The 14,309-nt window shown below is 44.3% G+C and overlaps 1 pseudogene across 6 annotated transcripts in view, besides 2 other annotated features; it reads right to left on the bottom strand.

Annotated features, from left to right (window-relative positions):
* The window catches only part of TRIM16L (tripartite motif containing 16 like (pseudogene)), a 38,115-nt pseudogene extending 26,296 nt beyond the window's left edge, over positions 1–11,819 (bottom strand). For 2 of the 6 annotated variants that reach the window (NR_172638.1, NR_172633.1), the window contains exons 1-5: positions 11,703–11,819; positions 10,542–10,663; positions 8,372–8,460; positions 5,052–5,198; positions 4,653–4,754 (exon numbers count right to left, since the gene is read on the bottom strand). The product of NR_172638.1 is annotated as a tripartite motif containing 16 like (pseudogene), transcript variant 6 (transcript). Of the gene's footprint in view, positions 1–4,652; positions 4,755–5,051; positions 5,199–5,269; positions 5,689–8,371; positions 8,461–10,359; positions 10,458–10,541; positions 10,664–11,702 lie in introns of those variants that run through there. The other 4 variants (NR_172637.1, NR_172636.1, NR_172634.1 and 1 more) reach the window with 4 other exon arrangements.
* Positions 11,094–11,651: an enhancer, noted in NCBI's record as "H3K27ac-H3K4me1 hESC enhancer chr17:18601479-18602036 (GRCh37/hg19 assembly coordinates)". NCBI's record gives its function as "activates a minimal SCP1, AML or CMV promoter by ChIP-STARR-seq in primed H9 embryonic stem cells {active_cell/tissue: H9 hESC(primed)}" and the evidence as "EXISTENCE:reporter gene assay evidence [ECO:0000049][PMID:30033119]".
* Positions 11,839–11,898: a silencer, noted in NCBI's record as "silent region_8279". NCBI's record gives its function as "represses an Ori minimal core promoter by ATAC-STARR-seq in GM12878 lymphoblastoid cells {active_cell/tissue: GM12878}" and the evidence as "EXISTENCE:reporter gene assay evidence [ECO:0000049][PMID:35858748]".

Here is a 14,309-nt window from a genome sequence, read left to right as displayed (position 1 = left end):
GTGGGCAGACTGCTTGAGCTCAAGAGTTCAAGACCAGTCTGGGCTATATGGCAAAACACCATCTACAAAAAATACAAACAAATTTGCCAGGTGTGGTGACGCTTGCCTGTGGTCCCAGCTACTCAGGAGGCTGAGGTGGGAGGATCAAGGATCCTGAGAGTTCAAGGCTGCAGTGAGCTGTGATGGCGTCACTGCACTCCAGCCCAGGCAATAGAGCAAAACCCTGTCTCAAACAAACAAACAAACAAACAAATCTGAGAGGAGAGCACAAGCATAGACCATACTACTAACAGTACAGTCAGAGTAAAAACTGAAACAAAACAAAAAAGGCTCTGTAAGTCCCAGAGTCATAACATTTCTAGAACTGTTCTGATTTCAAATATTTCATCACTATAATGTCCTCAAAATTTTAATATTTCTGGATCCAAATTATATTTAGGCTACAAGAGAATTATACCAATTCACTACAGTACAATCCACGAATTCATGCAATCCACCCATTAGAGGACAGACCTTTTGTTCAAGGACATCTGTCTTCAGTCTTTTGTTCTAAAATAAATTACCAAAGATGAGGACTCTGAAGGAACAACAATGGTTTCTACCAATCCAAAGCCAACTGGCTCCAGGAACTATGTTTGGAAATGACCTTGTTACCAATTGTTAACAAACATTACTTTAAGAAGTCCTATTCTAATGACAGACACTCTTATAGACGACCCTCCCCACCCCTTTTCAATTTCTTAAAGTTACGAAGGATTTTGGGCATTTCAAAAATTATTTCCAGATATCACCATTTATTCAGAGTGGTCTGTCTCACCGCTAATTTTCAGAACAAAAATCCTTTCTTCTCTAACTTCAGTTGTGCCTTCTGTAATTCAAGCCCTATTGAATTTCAAGCTGTACTAACACCGACTTCTTTAAACAGAAGAGAAGGATAGGAAAGCAGGTGAGAAGAGAGAGTTCAGAATAGCCCTTTTAGTGAGAAAAATAGAAAGCAGGGAAATCTCAGGTTCTGGCTAGTACACTGGGAATGATATGGGAAAGTCAAGGGACTCCAATCCTATACAATTGGATTACTCTCAGGTAACTGAAATGCATCTAAAACAGGAAGAAAAAAAAAAGGCAGGGAAAATAATTCATGGAAACCAAAAAAGTGACTCTAACATCAATTTAAGCTTAGGAAGATTTGAAAGAAAAAAAAAAGTTTGCATGTAAGTGTTGAGTCACAGCAACCAAAAAATAATGCCTGGCTTTATTAGGTACACATAAAATTTCTTAGAGCCATATACAGGAATTTTCATCAGGCAGCCTCAAGTAACTTAATCTGGTGATAGTCTGATACAAATTCATATGACCTTTTTTTTTTAATGTTTTCTAAAAGTGTTGACTCAATCTTCCCTAACTCTTCTGTTGGGATTGCATAATAGTTACTATGTAAGGCTGACAGTTTCCAAGGTAAATGGTTCTTACTTTCTGAGAACTGTTATAATTTCAGGCTTAAGGAAAGGGAAAAAAAAGAAAATTCTAAGAAAGTGGAGATGGAAAAAGCAAAATAGATTCCTCATCAACGGAAGACACAATAGTCCGGGCGCAGTGGCTCACGCCTGTAATCCCAGCACTTTGGGAGGCTGAGACGGGCGGATCATGAGGTCAAGAGATTGAGACCATCCTGGCCAACATGGTGAAACCCTGTCTCTACAAAAAATACAAAAATTAGCCGGGCGTGGTGACGGGCACCTGTAGTCCCAGCTACTTGGGAGGCTGAGGCAGGAGAATCACTTGAACCTGGGAGGCGGAGGTCACAGTGAGCTGAGATCATGCCATTGCACTCCAGCCTGGTGACAGAGCAAGACTCTGTCTCAAAAAAAAAAAAAAGACACAATAACATTAAAGAGCTATTTTGAGATAAGTGAAAAAAGATTTCTGAAAAGGTAGATGTAACAGAGTTTGGCCCCATTTTTGATGTCTGGCCATTGACAGCATTTAAGTTTCCACCATTTTCTATTCTCCCCTCCTCCACACTGCCCCACCGCACACCTGGTGCTTTAGATAAAGAAATCCATGGGCATCTCCTGAGCTCCCAGCACTGGCAGGAAGCTTGAATCCCTCAAGCCCACAGATCGAATGCTCTCCAGCCCCACTCCCTAGCTACTTTAAAGGCCCAGCCTCCTCTCTGTTCTTGCCATTTTGGACCAGCTTTCATCTATCTTGCTCTCCCCAGAAACCCTGTGTATGAATAGTAAACTTTCAAGTTCTCTTAGTGTGTGAAATGTCATCAGTCTTGACATCTGGCCTATTAACTGGGTCCCTCATCTCCCGGGGGGTGATCACAAAACAGTGGGATGAGGTAAAGCGAACAAAAGCTGCCCACAGGAGGGTATGAGCTGGGGGCAGGAATGACTACAGATTAAGGCAAAGTTTTATAGGAAGGTGGTATTAGGATATGTAATTAGCTATGAGCTTCTTTATTTTGTTTGGACATGGCACTATTTCCATCAGTACAAGAAGGGGCAACAAGCTCAGTTCTGCACAACTAGAATTTCTTGGCTTATTCCTGAGGCCAGGGAAGGGGGGTAAAATCACTGCATGGTGACAGCAGTCATTTCAGGTACAGATAAAAATACACACATATACATATAAAAATTGAGCTTTAGAGTCTATTAGGCTAGTCCAGATTTCAGTTCAGTGTTTCTTCACTTGGATTTGTTGCAAGAGAAAATAACCGGGGTAGGAGAGGAGGGATTTTCATCCCTTAAAATATAATAAAGCATCGCCACTGTAACAACCTATAAAAGTATAATTCTTTGGCATTTAACAAAATGAAGAGTCTGAGTGGATTTGTCCAGACATTCAGGGAGATTCTCCACTGTGAAGTCTCTGGTGTCTAATGAGGGCTGAACTACACGAAAGCTCTGCCACATTTATGTGACAGAACTCATACCGGAGAAAAACCCTACAAGTGTAAAGAATGTGGTGAAGCCTTCAGCCAGAGCTCAACTCTTACAAAACATACAAAAGTCTACACTGGAGAGAAACCCTACACCTGTAAAGACTGTGGGAAAGCCTTCAGCCAGAGTTCATCTCTTATCCAGCATCAGAGGGTTCATACTGGAAAGAAACCATTTGATTATCAGGAGTGTGGGAAAGCCTTCAGTAGAAGCGCCCATGTTACCCAACATCAGAGGATCCACACTGGAGAGAAGCCCTGTGTATATACACATACGTATGTGTATATATACATACGTATGTGTATATACACATACGTATATATACATGTGTATATACATATATATTTGCATATATAATATAAAAATATATATATTATATACTATACATATATATATACATTTTTTTTGCAGATACTTGAATGTTTGTGTTCGTTAGAGTTCTAGGCTCTCTTGTAACTCTTTTTGTGCTCTTTGGGTGATATTATCCACTCCCATGGCTTCAATTTCATCCATTCTCAGGCAACTCCCAAATCTGTACCACCAGTTAAGATCTCTTTCCTTTACTAAGATACATTTGGCATGTCATCCTTATATTCATCTAGCCTCCAGACATTACCACTTAGAGCAGGTTTTCTCAACTGCAGCACTGTTGACGTTTTAGACAGACAAGTCTTTGTGTGGGGCCCCGTCCTGTGCATTGTAGGATGTTTAGCAGCATTCCTGGACTCCACTCACGAGATACCCATAGCACACTTCAGACATTGCCAAATGTCCCCTGGGGGGCAAACTTGCCCCTGGTTAAGAACCACTGGTTTAGACTTATTATAGACACTTCAAACAACTTAAGAGAAACTGAACTCATCTTCCACTCCCTAAATTTGCTACTTCTCCTGTGTTTTCCATCTCAGGGAAGAGAACTTCCATTCACCTACACATCCAGACCAGAAACCTGAGAATTTTTTCTTTTTTTTTTTTTTTCTTGAGACGGAGTCTCGCTCTGTCACCCAGGCTGGAGTGCAGTGGCATGATCTCGGCTCGCTGCAAGCTCCACCTCCTGGGGTTCACGCCATTCTCCTGCCTCAACCTCCCGAGTAGCTGGGACTACAGGCGCCCGCCACCACGCCCGGCTAATTTTTTGTATTTTTAGTACAGATGGGGTTTCACCATGTTAGCCAGGATGGTCTCCATCTCCTGACCTCGTGATCCGCCCGCCTCGGCCTCCCAAAGTGCTGGGATTACAGGCGTGAGCCACCGCGCCCGGCCGAAACCTGAGAATTTTCTTTGTTACTCCCTCACCTCTCAAATCTACACAACAAATTATGTCAATTTTATATCCTTAAAATTATTCAAATTCTTTCCTTCTCTTCATATTTCTTATATAGCAGAAAACTAGGTAGGATAAGGACAGAGTAAATGAAGAAGTGATTCCAGCTACTAAAGAGGAAACGGGAATAGCCTCATAAAATGCCTCAGGATGAGGCACAAAGCTGATCTCTGGATCATGTGTTGGGCTTATAACTTTAAGGAGGAAGTATCTCTTCCTTCAGTCTGGAAAGAAATAAAGAGGCAAGCTATTAGGATTCTGATGTGGTCAAGTGAAGATGAGACTGCAGGGGGATTCAACATTTTCTACAGGCCCGGAGGATTTCGGAAGAACCCCTAACTCTTATTTCTAAAGATGCAATCCGCCTTGTTCTCACTTACGTGTACAGCTGCTTCTTGGCACCTCTCCCTCCTGCATTTGCGTTCGTGGGCCTACCACTTCTTCCAACTAGGAGATGATACCAGGTTTGGAAAATGGAAATCCTACTCAAGAGATACAAACAGAATGTAATTTTAAGTTCAAAAGAGAAAGGACCACTCTATTCTCAGTCCCACTCTGTTGCATTTTAGAGAGGAGAAAATGAAATAACTAATTGTCAAAAGCAATTAAATAATTTCTACCCAAGTAGGGTGAGAAACAGTTTAAGGATCTGATCTGGATTCTGTGGGGGAAAATAACCAAAGCCTCATTTGTTATCATCCCCTAATAGAAGCAAGGGAATCTTTAGAAGGCAAAGGTATCCTGAAAGGTCAATCTGGGGTGGAAGGACCCAAGCTTACCCAAGGAGACCAGGTTCCTATAGTTCTCCAGCATTACATCCCTGTACAAGACTCTCTGAGCAAGGTCCAGTACTCTCCATTCTTCCTAGTGAAGTTCACAGCCACATCCTTGAATGACGTAAAGCCCTGAAACACCTGCATGGGGTTCTGAAGAAAAAGTTAAATGAGGCATACTTAGGGGAGACTGATGGGATGGAGAGGAAATAGATTAAACTATGTTCGCAGTGTCAAAGACAAGATTTTATTGACTCATATATTAAAGAATCTTAAAATCTTAAAATGCGTATACCCCCTTGACATAATTTGATAGTTTTGTTTTACAGTAATTTTATATACAGAACTCAATTATAAGAAAACTATCGGCTGGGTGCAGTGGCTCACGCCTGTAATCCCAGCACTTTGGGAGGCCGAGGCGGGCAGATCACGAGGTCAGGAGATCGAGACCATCCTGGCTAACACGGTGAAACCCCATCTCTACTATAAATACAAAAAAAATTAGCCAGGCATGGTGGTGGGCGCCTGTAGTCCCAGCTACTCGGGAGGCTGAAGCAGGAGAATGGCGTGAACCCGGGAGGCGAAGCTTGCAGTGAGCCGAGATCACGCCACTGCACTCCAGCCTGGGCAACAGAACGAGACTCTGTCTCAAAAAAAAAAAAAAGAAAACTATCAGAAATACGGAGAGTTATAAACAAAGAATCACATCTATTTATACCTTACAGTAGAAAAATAGCAAAATCGTTCTAAATAACCTAAATGTTTGAGAACAGTGCTACGAGCTGCTAACTGTCCATGAAAATATACCTCCTCCTCTCCTTTCTAGGTATACAAACATTTCCCAACCTCCTCTGTAGTTAGACCTGGCCATGAGATCCTAACCAATGGAATGCAAGCAGAAGTGATGTGCGCCCTTTCCAGGCCTGACTCACGTATATTCCTCCATGCTGTTTTCCCCTTCTGACTGGCTGGTAGGGCCATGAGCCCCAGAGTGAGTTTGGAAGCCATGTGGTAAAGAGGCTAGAGCTTCAGGTAGCTCAGGTCCCTGAATGGCCATCCTATCAATCTATATACCCAGTCACATGGCTATGACAGCAAACAATACACTTCTACTGTATTAAGGCCATATATATTTTGGGTCTATTGGTTACAACAGTTATTAGTAAGCCAACCCAAACTAATTCAGAAATCAGCACCTTCAAGTGGGAGATATCATAATAAAAAGTTCAAATACACAGGTGGCATTGGATTGACAGTCAGGTGGCAAGCTTCAAAGAAAAGAATATTTACGACTGGAGAAATGCAGTCTCTCTTTTTTTTTTTTTTTTTTTTTTTTTGTTTGAGACAGAGTCTCACTCTGTTGCTGGAGGGCAGTGGCCACGATGATCTCGGCTTACCGCAACCTCCATCTCCCATGTTTAAGCGATTCTCCTGCCTCAGCCTCATGAGTAGCTGGGACTACAGGTGTGAGCCACCACGCCCAGCTACTTTTTTTTGTATTTTTAGTAGAAACGGGATCTCACCATGTTGTCCAGGCTGGTGACAGACTCCTGACCTCAGGTGATCCGCCCACCTCGGCCTCCCAAAGTGCTGGGATTACAGGCATGAGCCACCGCATCCAGCCAACAGATGCAGACTCTTAATATACACTGGCAAACTAATTAGCAACTATGAGGGCAGGGCAAATGCTCACTGGGCCTGTGGCTCTAGAACAGGTTGGAAAGCGCCAGAATGCTCTTTGTGTAGAATGCTCCTGGATATGTCTGGCGAACAAAGAATGAGTTAAGTTCAGGAAACAATGTGTCAATTTTCAAGCCAAAACAAAAGAGAATAGAGTGCAGAAATCTGAGGCCTCACGTGGTTGGAAAAGCAAACTGTTTCTAGATCTCATACAGTGGGAAGTAAGTCTAACAAGAGCTTTGAGCAATAAAGGCCCATTACACCTGTTAACTAAACAAACTGATTTAGCCCTGTAAAAAAAAGTCAGATTAAGGATGTGGCCTTCCCACCCAAGCCTATTGTTCAGCTGGCCTTAAGGTTATCTTCAGTTAAGTTGAGAGAGACAGATGGTAAGTAAGAAACTAAGACATAGGCCAAGCTGGCCAGGCGCAGTGGCTCACGCCTGTAATCCCAGCACTTTGGGAGGCCGAGGTGGGCGGATCACAAGGTTAGGAGATCGAGACCATCCTGGCTAACACGGTGAAACCCTGTCTCTACTAAAAATACAAAAAATTAGCCGGGCGCGGTGGCGGGTGCCTGTAGTCCCAGCTACTTGGGAGGCTGAGGCAGGAGAATGGCGTGAACCTGGGAGGCGGAGCTTGCAGTGAGCCGAGATGGCGCCACTGCACTCCAGCCTGGGCGAGAGAGCGAGACTCTATCTCAAAAAAAAAAAAAAAAAAAAGAAAAAAAAAAGAAATAAGCCAAGCTTGAGAATTATATCTAGGAAAGAACTTTGAGTATAAGAAGCCTTTAAGTTTTTGTGGAACAACACCTCCGTGATTTCAATGTACTGACTTTTTTCCTGTGCCAGAGGAATCAGTATCTTGCTTCGATTCTAAGTCATTTATGTCACTAACTTTCTATAAATCTTTCAACTTAGCCTTCAGGGCCCACATCAAATCTCACTACTTTCATTAGCCTAGGAGCTGCTTAAAAGGACTTTAAAATGCTAGTTGAATGAATAAAACCTTCCTAAATCTCTCTCAGCCAGACACATTTGCTCCTGCTCCTCCAAGTCTATACAGCATTTTCCCTAAGACACTTTATTATTGAGTAGGCCCTTAATAATAAGGGCCCTTAATAATAAGGCCCTATTTAATAATACTAAATCTGCTGGTTTGTGCCACACAGATTTGTGTACATCTTTTCTCCCCAAAATATTCTAAGCAGATGCAAGCAAGAAATGCCTCACGTGCCTTTGCATATCTACGCCAAATGTCTCAAGTGAACAAAAAGAAGCTTGATTCTTACCCAACCATGTTCTAGGAGTCACGCTCCTCAATTATCTGCTAAAGAGGCCTCATTCCCATCCTGCCCCCACCATCCTTTCTCCACACTGCCAACTGATGGGCGAGGCTACCAAGCCTCCTGACCTTCACTGCTACTGTCATACAACTGAGGAACACTCAAACACCATCCCGTTGGCAGTCCATCCCACCTGCTTGATCCTTTCCTTTCAAACTGCTGTGGCTAATGTGGTTGACAAGCTTCATGCTAAGAGAAAAAAATTTGCTTCAGGAATTAAAATAAGATTTCTGAGAAGAGAGGAAAATCCCCAACTCAATTAAAATAAAATTTCCGAGAAGAGAGGAGAATCCCCAACTCACCTGGGACTCTGCTGTCCGGCAAAGAGCAGCCATATTTTCCTTCTTAAGATACCCCTTTTGGGAAAGGGCAGGGTCCTCAGAGGGCAGAACTGGAAGGAAATTGACATAAAGGAACCTGGTTTATCTTTATGTATCTCAAACCTATGAATTTAGAAACAGCCACTTATGAGAAAATGTGCCTCTGACCTTGGCTGCCCATAGCTTGAAGGATTTTACAGACATCTATGTAATGAGACTTCAAAGATAATCTCAGAGGATAGAATGAACATAAACTTAGGGAAAGGTATGACCATTAACTGGGCTCAGGATCTGCGTGAGCCACTGCTCTGAAAACGAGGTTCCCTGGGACCAAAAAACCCTAAAACAAAACAAGAAGTGCAATGTTACAGTTGGAGAGGTGCTTAAAGACCTCCAGGCTCAACTCCTTTATTCACAAATGGAGAAAGTGACCAATTTTGTAGAACAAGAAAAAGGGAGTCACAGCAGCAAAAGACAGCAGTGCCCACCCCAGCAGTCATGGTCACAGACACCTTTAGCCACCCCATCGTGAGTATTCCAGGCCCACGGTGAGTCTGTGGCCACCTCAGGCCTGTTAACACCACACACGCTCCACTAAATTGTATGTGTCGTATCATTCACCACTGCATCCTAAGCACTGAGCACGGTGTACTTGGCAGACAGCAGTCCCTAAGTATTGTGAATGAATTAATGAATGAGCCCCAAATTCCCTTGGTCTGATTCTATGCCCAACAAGCAACCTTCTGCTCATAATTTACTTCTCCATTTTGATTTTTTTACTTGTAGGGAGAGAACTGCTGATCCTATTACCTTTGAGCATTTCTTTGCGCTTATCTCTAGGTAGTAGGGTTACATGCTATTTATCTTATTCTACATATCATTCTATATTTTCCTAATATTTTAGTTTATTATTTCTTCAATCCTCTCTCCACCCATCTCCAAAAAGCAGTACTTAAACCTCCTTGTGGATTTGTTTGGGGGAAGAAGTAGTTCTTTCAGGCCTCAGTTATTACCAAGTACAGGGTTTCACAATTTTGTAGAATTCATGCCTCCTGTAATCCTTTGTCATTGGAACTCTGGCTCTGGAGTCTGCCTGCCTACTGCCTTTACATCCTGGCACTGTGTAACCATAGCCAAGTTTCTTCTGGGCTTCAGTTTCCTAATTTTACAAAAGAGATTAATAATGGTACCTACGTTGCTACAATGTGCGTTAATGCACATAAACGGCCCAAACCAGTACCTGGTACAGAATAAGCACTCAGGAAAGGTCATTTAATCATCAGTTAATTATTATTCTCAATATTTTCTGCATATCAACATTAACCAAGACTTTATGGTGCTTTCTTTCTATACTTTGTTTTACGAGGAAAAAAAGGTATGATCAATATGTTTGGTCATACTCCCAAATCCCAACTTCCCCACAAGATGCCTGTCCCCTCCCTGTACTCGACACTGACAGTCAGTGGGGGCTAAGGTAGAGTTAGGAACTCCTAAGTTCCAGGACTTCCAGAAATCAGAGGGCCTGAGGGCAGGATATTATAGGAAAGTCAAACAGACTAGAGATAGACTATGGAAGTCCCTTCTAATCTGGGGCATCCCTTTGTATCTCCTTAAGAGAAAGCACTTTTTAAGAGAAAACTGAAAGAGAGCCAAGGAGCAGTCTCTAATTCTGCCAGAAATGAGCAGCAGGGCCATGGACCCTGGGGACGCAGGCCCCAGCTCTAGCCCTGAGCTCATAGAAGGTTCAAGGGACTAAGGCTCTCCCATGTGCTATAATGCCAAATCAAATCATCAGCCTCTCCATACCTATTTCTTTCTCCTCCTCCAAGGAGTCTGACTTATCCCCCCTCATCCTTCAGAAAGGCAGGTGGTATAACGGAAAGAGTACGGAAGTAAGGTATCTTGTTTTTTCAGAGTTTCAAATTAAAAGGGAATATTAGTAAAATCACTACCATTCTTCGCACACTCACCATACACCAGGTGCTTTCCATAAATCAGTATTTACAGATGAGGAAACTGTTAACTTGCCCAAGGTCTCTGTGCTGCCCACACACATTTTACAAGGTTGCTGTAAAGAAAAACTAAAATGAGGTTGTGTGTGCATACTGCAGATTCTCGGCTAATGGCAGGACCCTTTATTTCTATTTCTTACCTCTGTTCTGGAGTTTGCAGGTCCAATCCTCCATAATCATAGCCTTTGCGCCACTATTTGGGTGTAGCAACCTTTCCGTTCTCCACATATCTTCCTGGGAATTGCCAGCATTTTGCCAAAAACTGTGGCAAGAGATTCTGGATTGAAGTTTTCCCCTTTTTCATTGTATTTCTTTTTTCATTGTCTGAGACTCTACTCAGAACGCAGAGTCTGACGCAGTATCTTTTGAGCTAAAGCTAAACTCAAGAACTTCAGCAGCCATTTAATCTTCAGGAAGCCCTAAACACAGGCAAGTCTCAGTACCTTTATACCACCAGGGCCCTGCAGAGTCAGACACTGGGAACATAGACAGTTACAGACAACAGTAAGGATATTGTGCCTGATGAATACAAAAGTGCAGGGTGGTGGAAAGTGCCCTGCTGGGAGTGCCTGGATTCTAATTTCCCCTATGTGCTAGTTGGCTGGGTGACCTACAACAAGCTACTTTTCATTCTTGGGTGTTTCCTTCTTACGTACAAGTGGGCAGATGGATGCCTACTATTAATAAAAGCAACAACTGATTGATCCCTTACTTGGTGTCTGGCCCTGTGTCAACTGTTGCATGTCAAAATTCCATTTAATCCTCACAACCACCACTTAAAAGTAGGTACAACAAACCTCAAATTACAGGTAAAGAACACGAGACACAGAGAGTAACCTGCCTACACTCACATCGGAGCAATACCACTCTCTGAAAATGTGGATAAACGGGTCTCTGATATCCATCCCCTCCCACGTTCACACTGTCAGTCTATAAAACGGTTCCACCGCACTGCAGGCTGCAGAGACATAAGGGACGCGTTGGTGCCTAACCTGGCCCTGGTACAGGAGCCTTGGGCGCTACCTGCCTCACTTTCCAACCAAATGCTCCAGGCTGTGCGGGCCCTCAGCCGGTTTCCAAGCAAACGACCCGGAGGTGTCTCGGATAAGAAACACACATACACCCCACTCCCACACACACAAAACCCAAAGACACGCTCCGGGGGCAGAGGGGGCGCGTCAAGGTGGCCGAACCCTAGCTCCAGCAGAAGGAATTACAGTCAGATCAGCGGGCCCGGGGAGAGACCCAAAAGGGAGCAGCCGGGACCCCAAGTCTGACAATCCACTGCTGAACACACACACCCTGTCCAGCGTCTGCTCCTCCCCCGTCCAGACACAGAGAGGGTTCTCTGCTCTGGGGGACAGGGAGGACACAGACTCGCCACGCGCGGAGCTCCTCCAGAGAAAGGGGCCAGAAGCGGAAGTGCGCGCCGAGGCTCCTGGGAAATGTAGTCCGGAGCGGCCCGGGCGACAGAGCGAGATTCTCTCTCGAAACAAAAACAAAACAAAAAAACTAAACAATGTTAAAAGTGAAGTTATAGAGCAGAAATTTTTTTTCTTTGAGACGCAGTCTCGCTCTGTCGTCAGACGAGTGCAGTGGCGCGATCTCGGCTCACTGCAACCTCCGCCTCCCGGGTTCAAGCGATTCTCCTCCTCAGACTCCCGAGTAGCTGGGATTACTGGCGCCCGCCACCATGCCCAACTAATTTTTTTATAATTTTAGTAGAGATCAGGGTTTCACCATATTGGATAGGCTGACCTCGAACTCCTGACCTCAGGTGATCCACTCACCTTGGCCTCCCAAAGTGCTGGGATTACAGGCGTCAGCCACCACGCCTGGCCCAAAAATTGTTTCTTATGCTTGATCTAGTCTGTTGTTAGAGTCTTGATTGTATTTTTCATGTAATTCATTGGATTCTTCAGTTCCAAGTTTTCTGTGTGGTTCTTTTTTATATCTCTGTTAAATTTCTCATTCAAATTATGAATTTTCTTGATTTCATTGAATTGTGTAACTGTATGCTCTTGAATTCCACTGTTTCCTTAAGATTATTATTTTAAATTCTTTTTCTGGAACTTTGTATATTTTCTTTTTTTCTTTTTTTTTGAGACAGAGTCTCGTTCTGTCGCCCAGGCTGGAGTGCAGTGGCGCGATCATCTAGGCTCACTGCAAGTTCTGCCTCCCGGGTTCACGCCATTCTCCTGCCTCAGCTTCCTGAGTAGCTGGGACTACAGGCGCCCACCACCACACCCAGCTAATTTTTTTTTTTTTTTTTTTTTTTGTATTTTTAGTAGAGACAGCATTTCACCGTGTTAGCCAGGATGGTCTTGATCTCCTGACCTCATGATCCGCTCGCCTCAGCCTCCCAAAGTGCCGGGATTACAGGCGTGAGCCACCGCGCCCAGCCAGAACTTTGTATTTTTTCTTATGATTGGCATCTGTTACTGGAAATTATTGTGTTCTTCTGGAGGTGTTGTGCTCCTTGCTTTTTCATGTTTCATGTGTTTCTACATTTTTCTTTATGTCTGTCTTTCTTTTTCTTTCTTTTCTTTCTTTTTTTTTGACAAGAGTCTTGCTCTGTCGGCTGGAGTGCAGTGGTGAGATCTTGGCTCATGGCAACCTCTGCCTCCTGCGTTCAAGGGATTCTCCTCCCACAGCCTCCAGAATAGCTGAGATTACAGGCATGTGCTGCTATGCCAGGCTAACTTTTGTATCTTTAGTAGAGACAGGGTTTCACCATTTTGGCCAGGCTGGTCTGGAACTCCTGAATGAACTCAAGTGATCTGCCCATCTCAGCCTCCCAAAGTGCTGGGATTACAGGCGTGAGCCACTGCACCCAGCTCTACATTGATTTATACACATATGATGAAACAATCACCTCTTCCAATTTCATGGAGTAGGTTCTGTAGGGAAAGATTTATTCATATGGGTCTTGGGGTATTGTTTCAATGGAGTGTGTTGGCTTTCGTTCTAGGTGGATGCGGTAGTGTATTCCCTATGTAAGTTTCTTCAGCTGTAATACATGCTAGTGACGGGCTGGGCGCAGTGGTTCACTCCTGTAATCCCAATCCTTTGGGAGGCTGAGGCAGGTGGATCATGAGGTCAGAAGTTCGAGAGCAGCCTGGCCAAGATGGTGAAACCCCATCTCTATTAAAAATACAAAAATTAGCCAGGAGCAGTGGCAGGCACCTGTAATCCCAGCTACTCGGGAGGCTGAGGCAGGAGAATCACTAGAATCCAGGAGACGGAGGTTGCAGTGAGCCGAGATCATGCCACTGCACTCTAGCCTGGGTAACAGAGAAAAGACTCGGTCTCAAAAAAAAAAAAATGCTAGTGACATTTGTGAATGTCTCAGTGGCCTAGGCTAAGAGGTGGTGATGGCGGTCATGTGGCTTTTGCACAGGGCTGTTTCTCAAGTCAGGGGCTCATTTGTGTACATGGTGGGTCAGCCAACTTGGGGTTTGGCTCACTGGGGTTGGGGCTATGGGACTGTTAACTCTGGGTGGGGACACGAATGCATTGTTGCTTGGCCAGCCTAGAGGGTGCCTGCCAGTGATGGCCTGTGGCACTGTTTCTCAGACCCTGGACACAGGAGCACAGCTGCTTGGCTGTCCTGGGAACATGTCTTCTAGGCGAAGCCTGTGGAGCTGTTATTTAGGCTTGCAACAAAGGCACAAAGCTGCTTGGCTGGCCGGGAGATGTGTGTCCTGGAGTGGCCCATGGGACTGTTTCTCAGGCCTGGGATGGAGGCACACTGCTCAGCTGACCTGGGGGGGTGTCTGCCTGGGGCAGCCTGTGAAGCTGTTTCTCAGGCCCTGAACATGGACACATGGCTTCTCAGCTGGCCTGGGTGCATGTCTGCTAAGCATGGCCCACAGGGTTTTTCTCAGGTTCAGGATGTGGGCTTATAG

Source organism: Homo sapiens, chromosome 17 (genome assembly GCF_000001405.40).
Source record: "Homo sapiens chromosome 17, GRCh38.p14 Primary Assembly".
Taxonomy (NCBI): Eukaryota; Metazoa; Chordata; class Mammalia; order Primates; family Hominidae; genus Homo; species Homo sapiens.
This window is presented reverse-complemented; position numbering and strand designations above follow the sequence as displayed.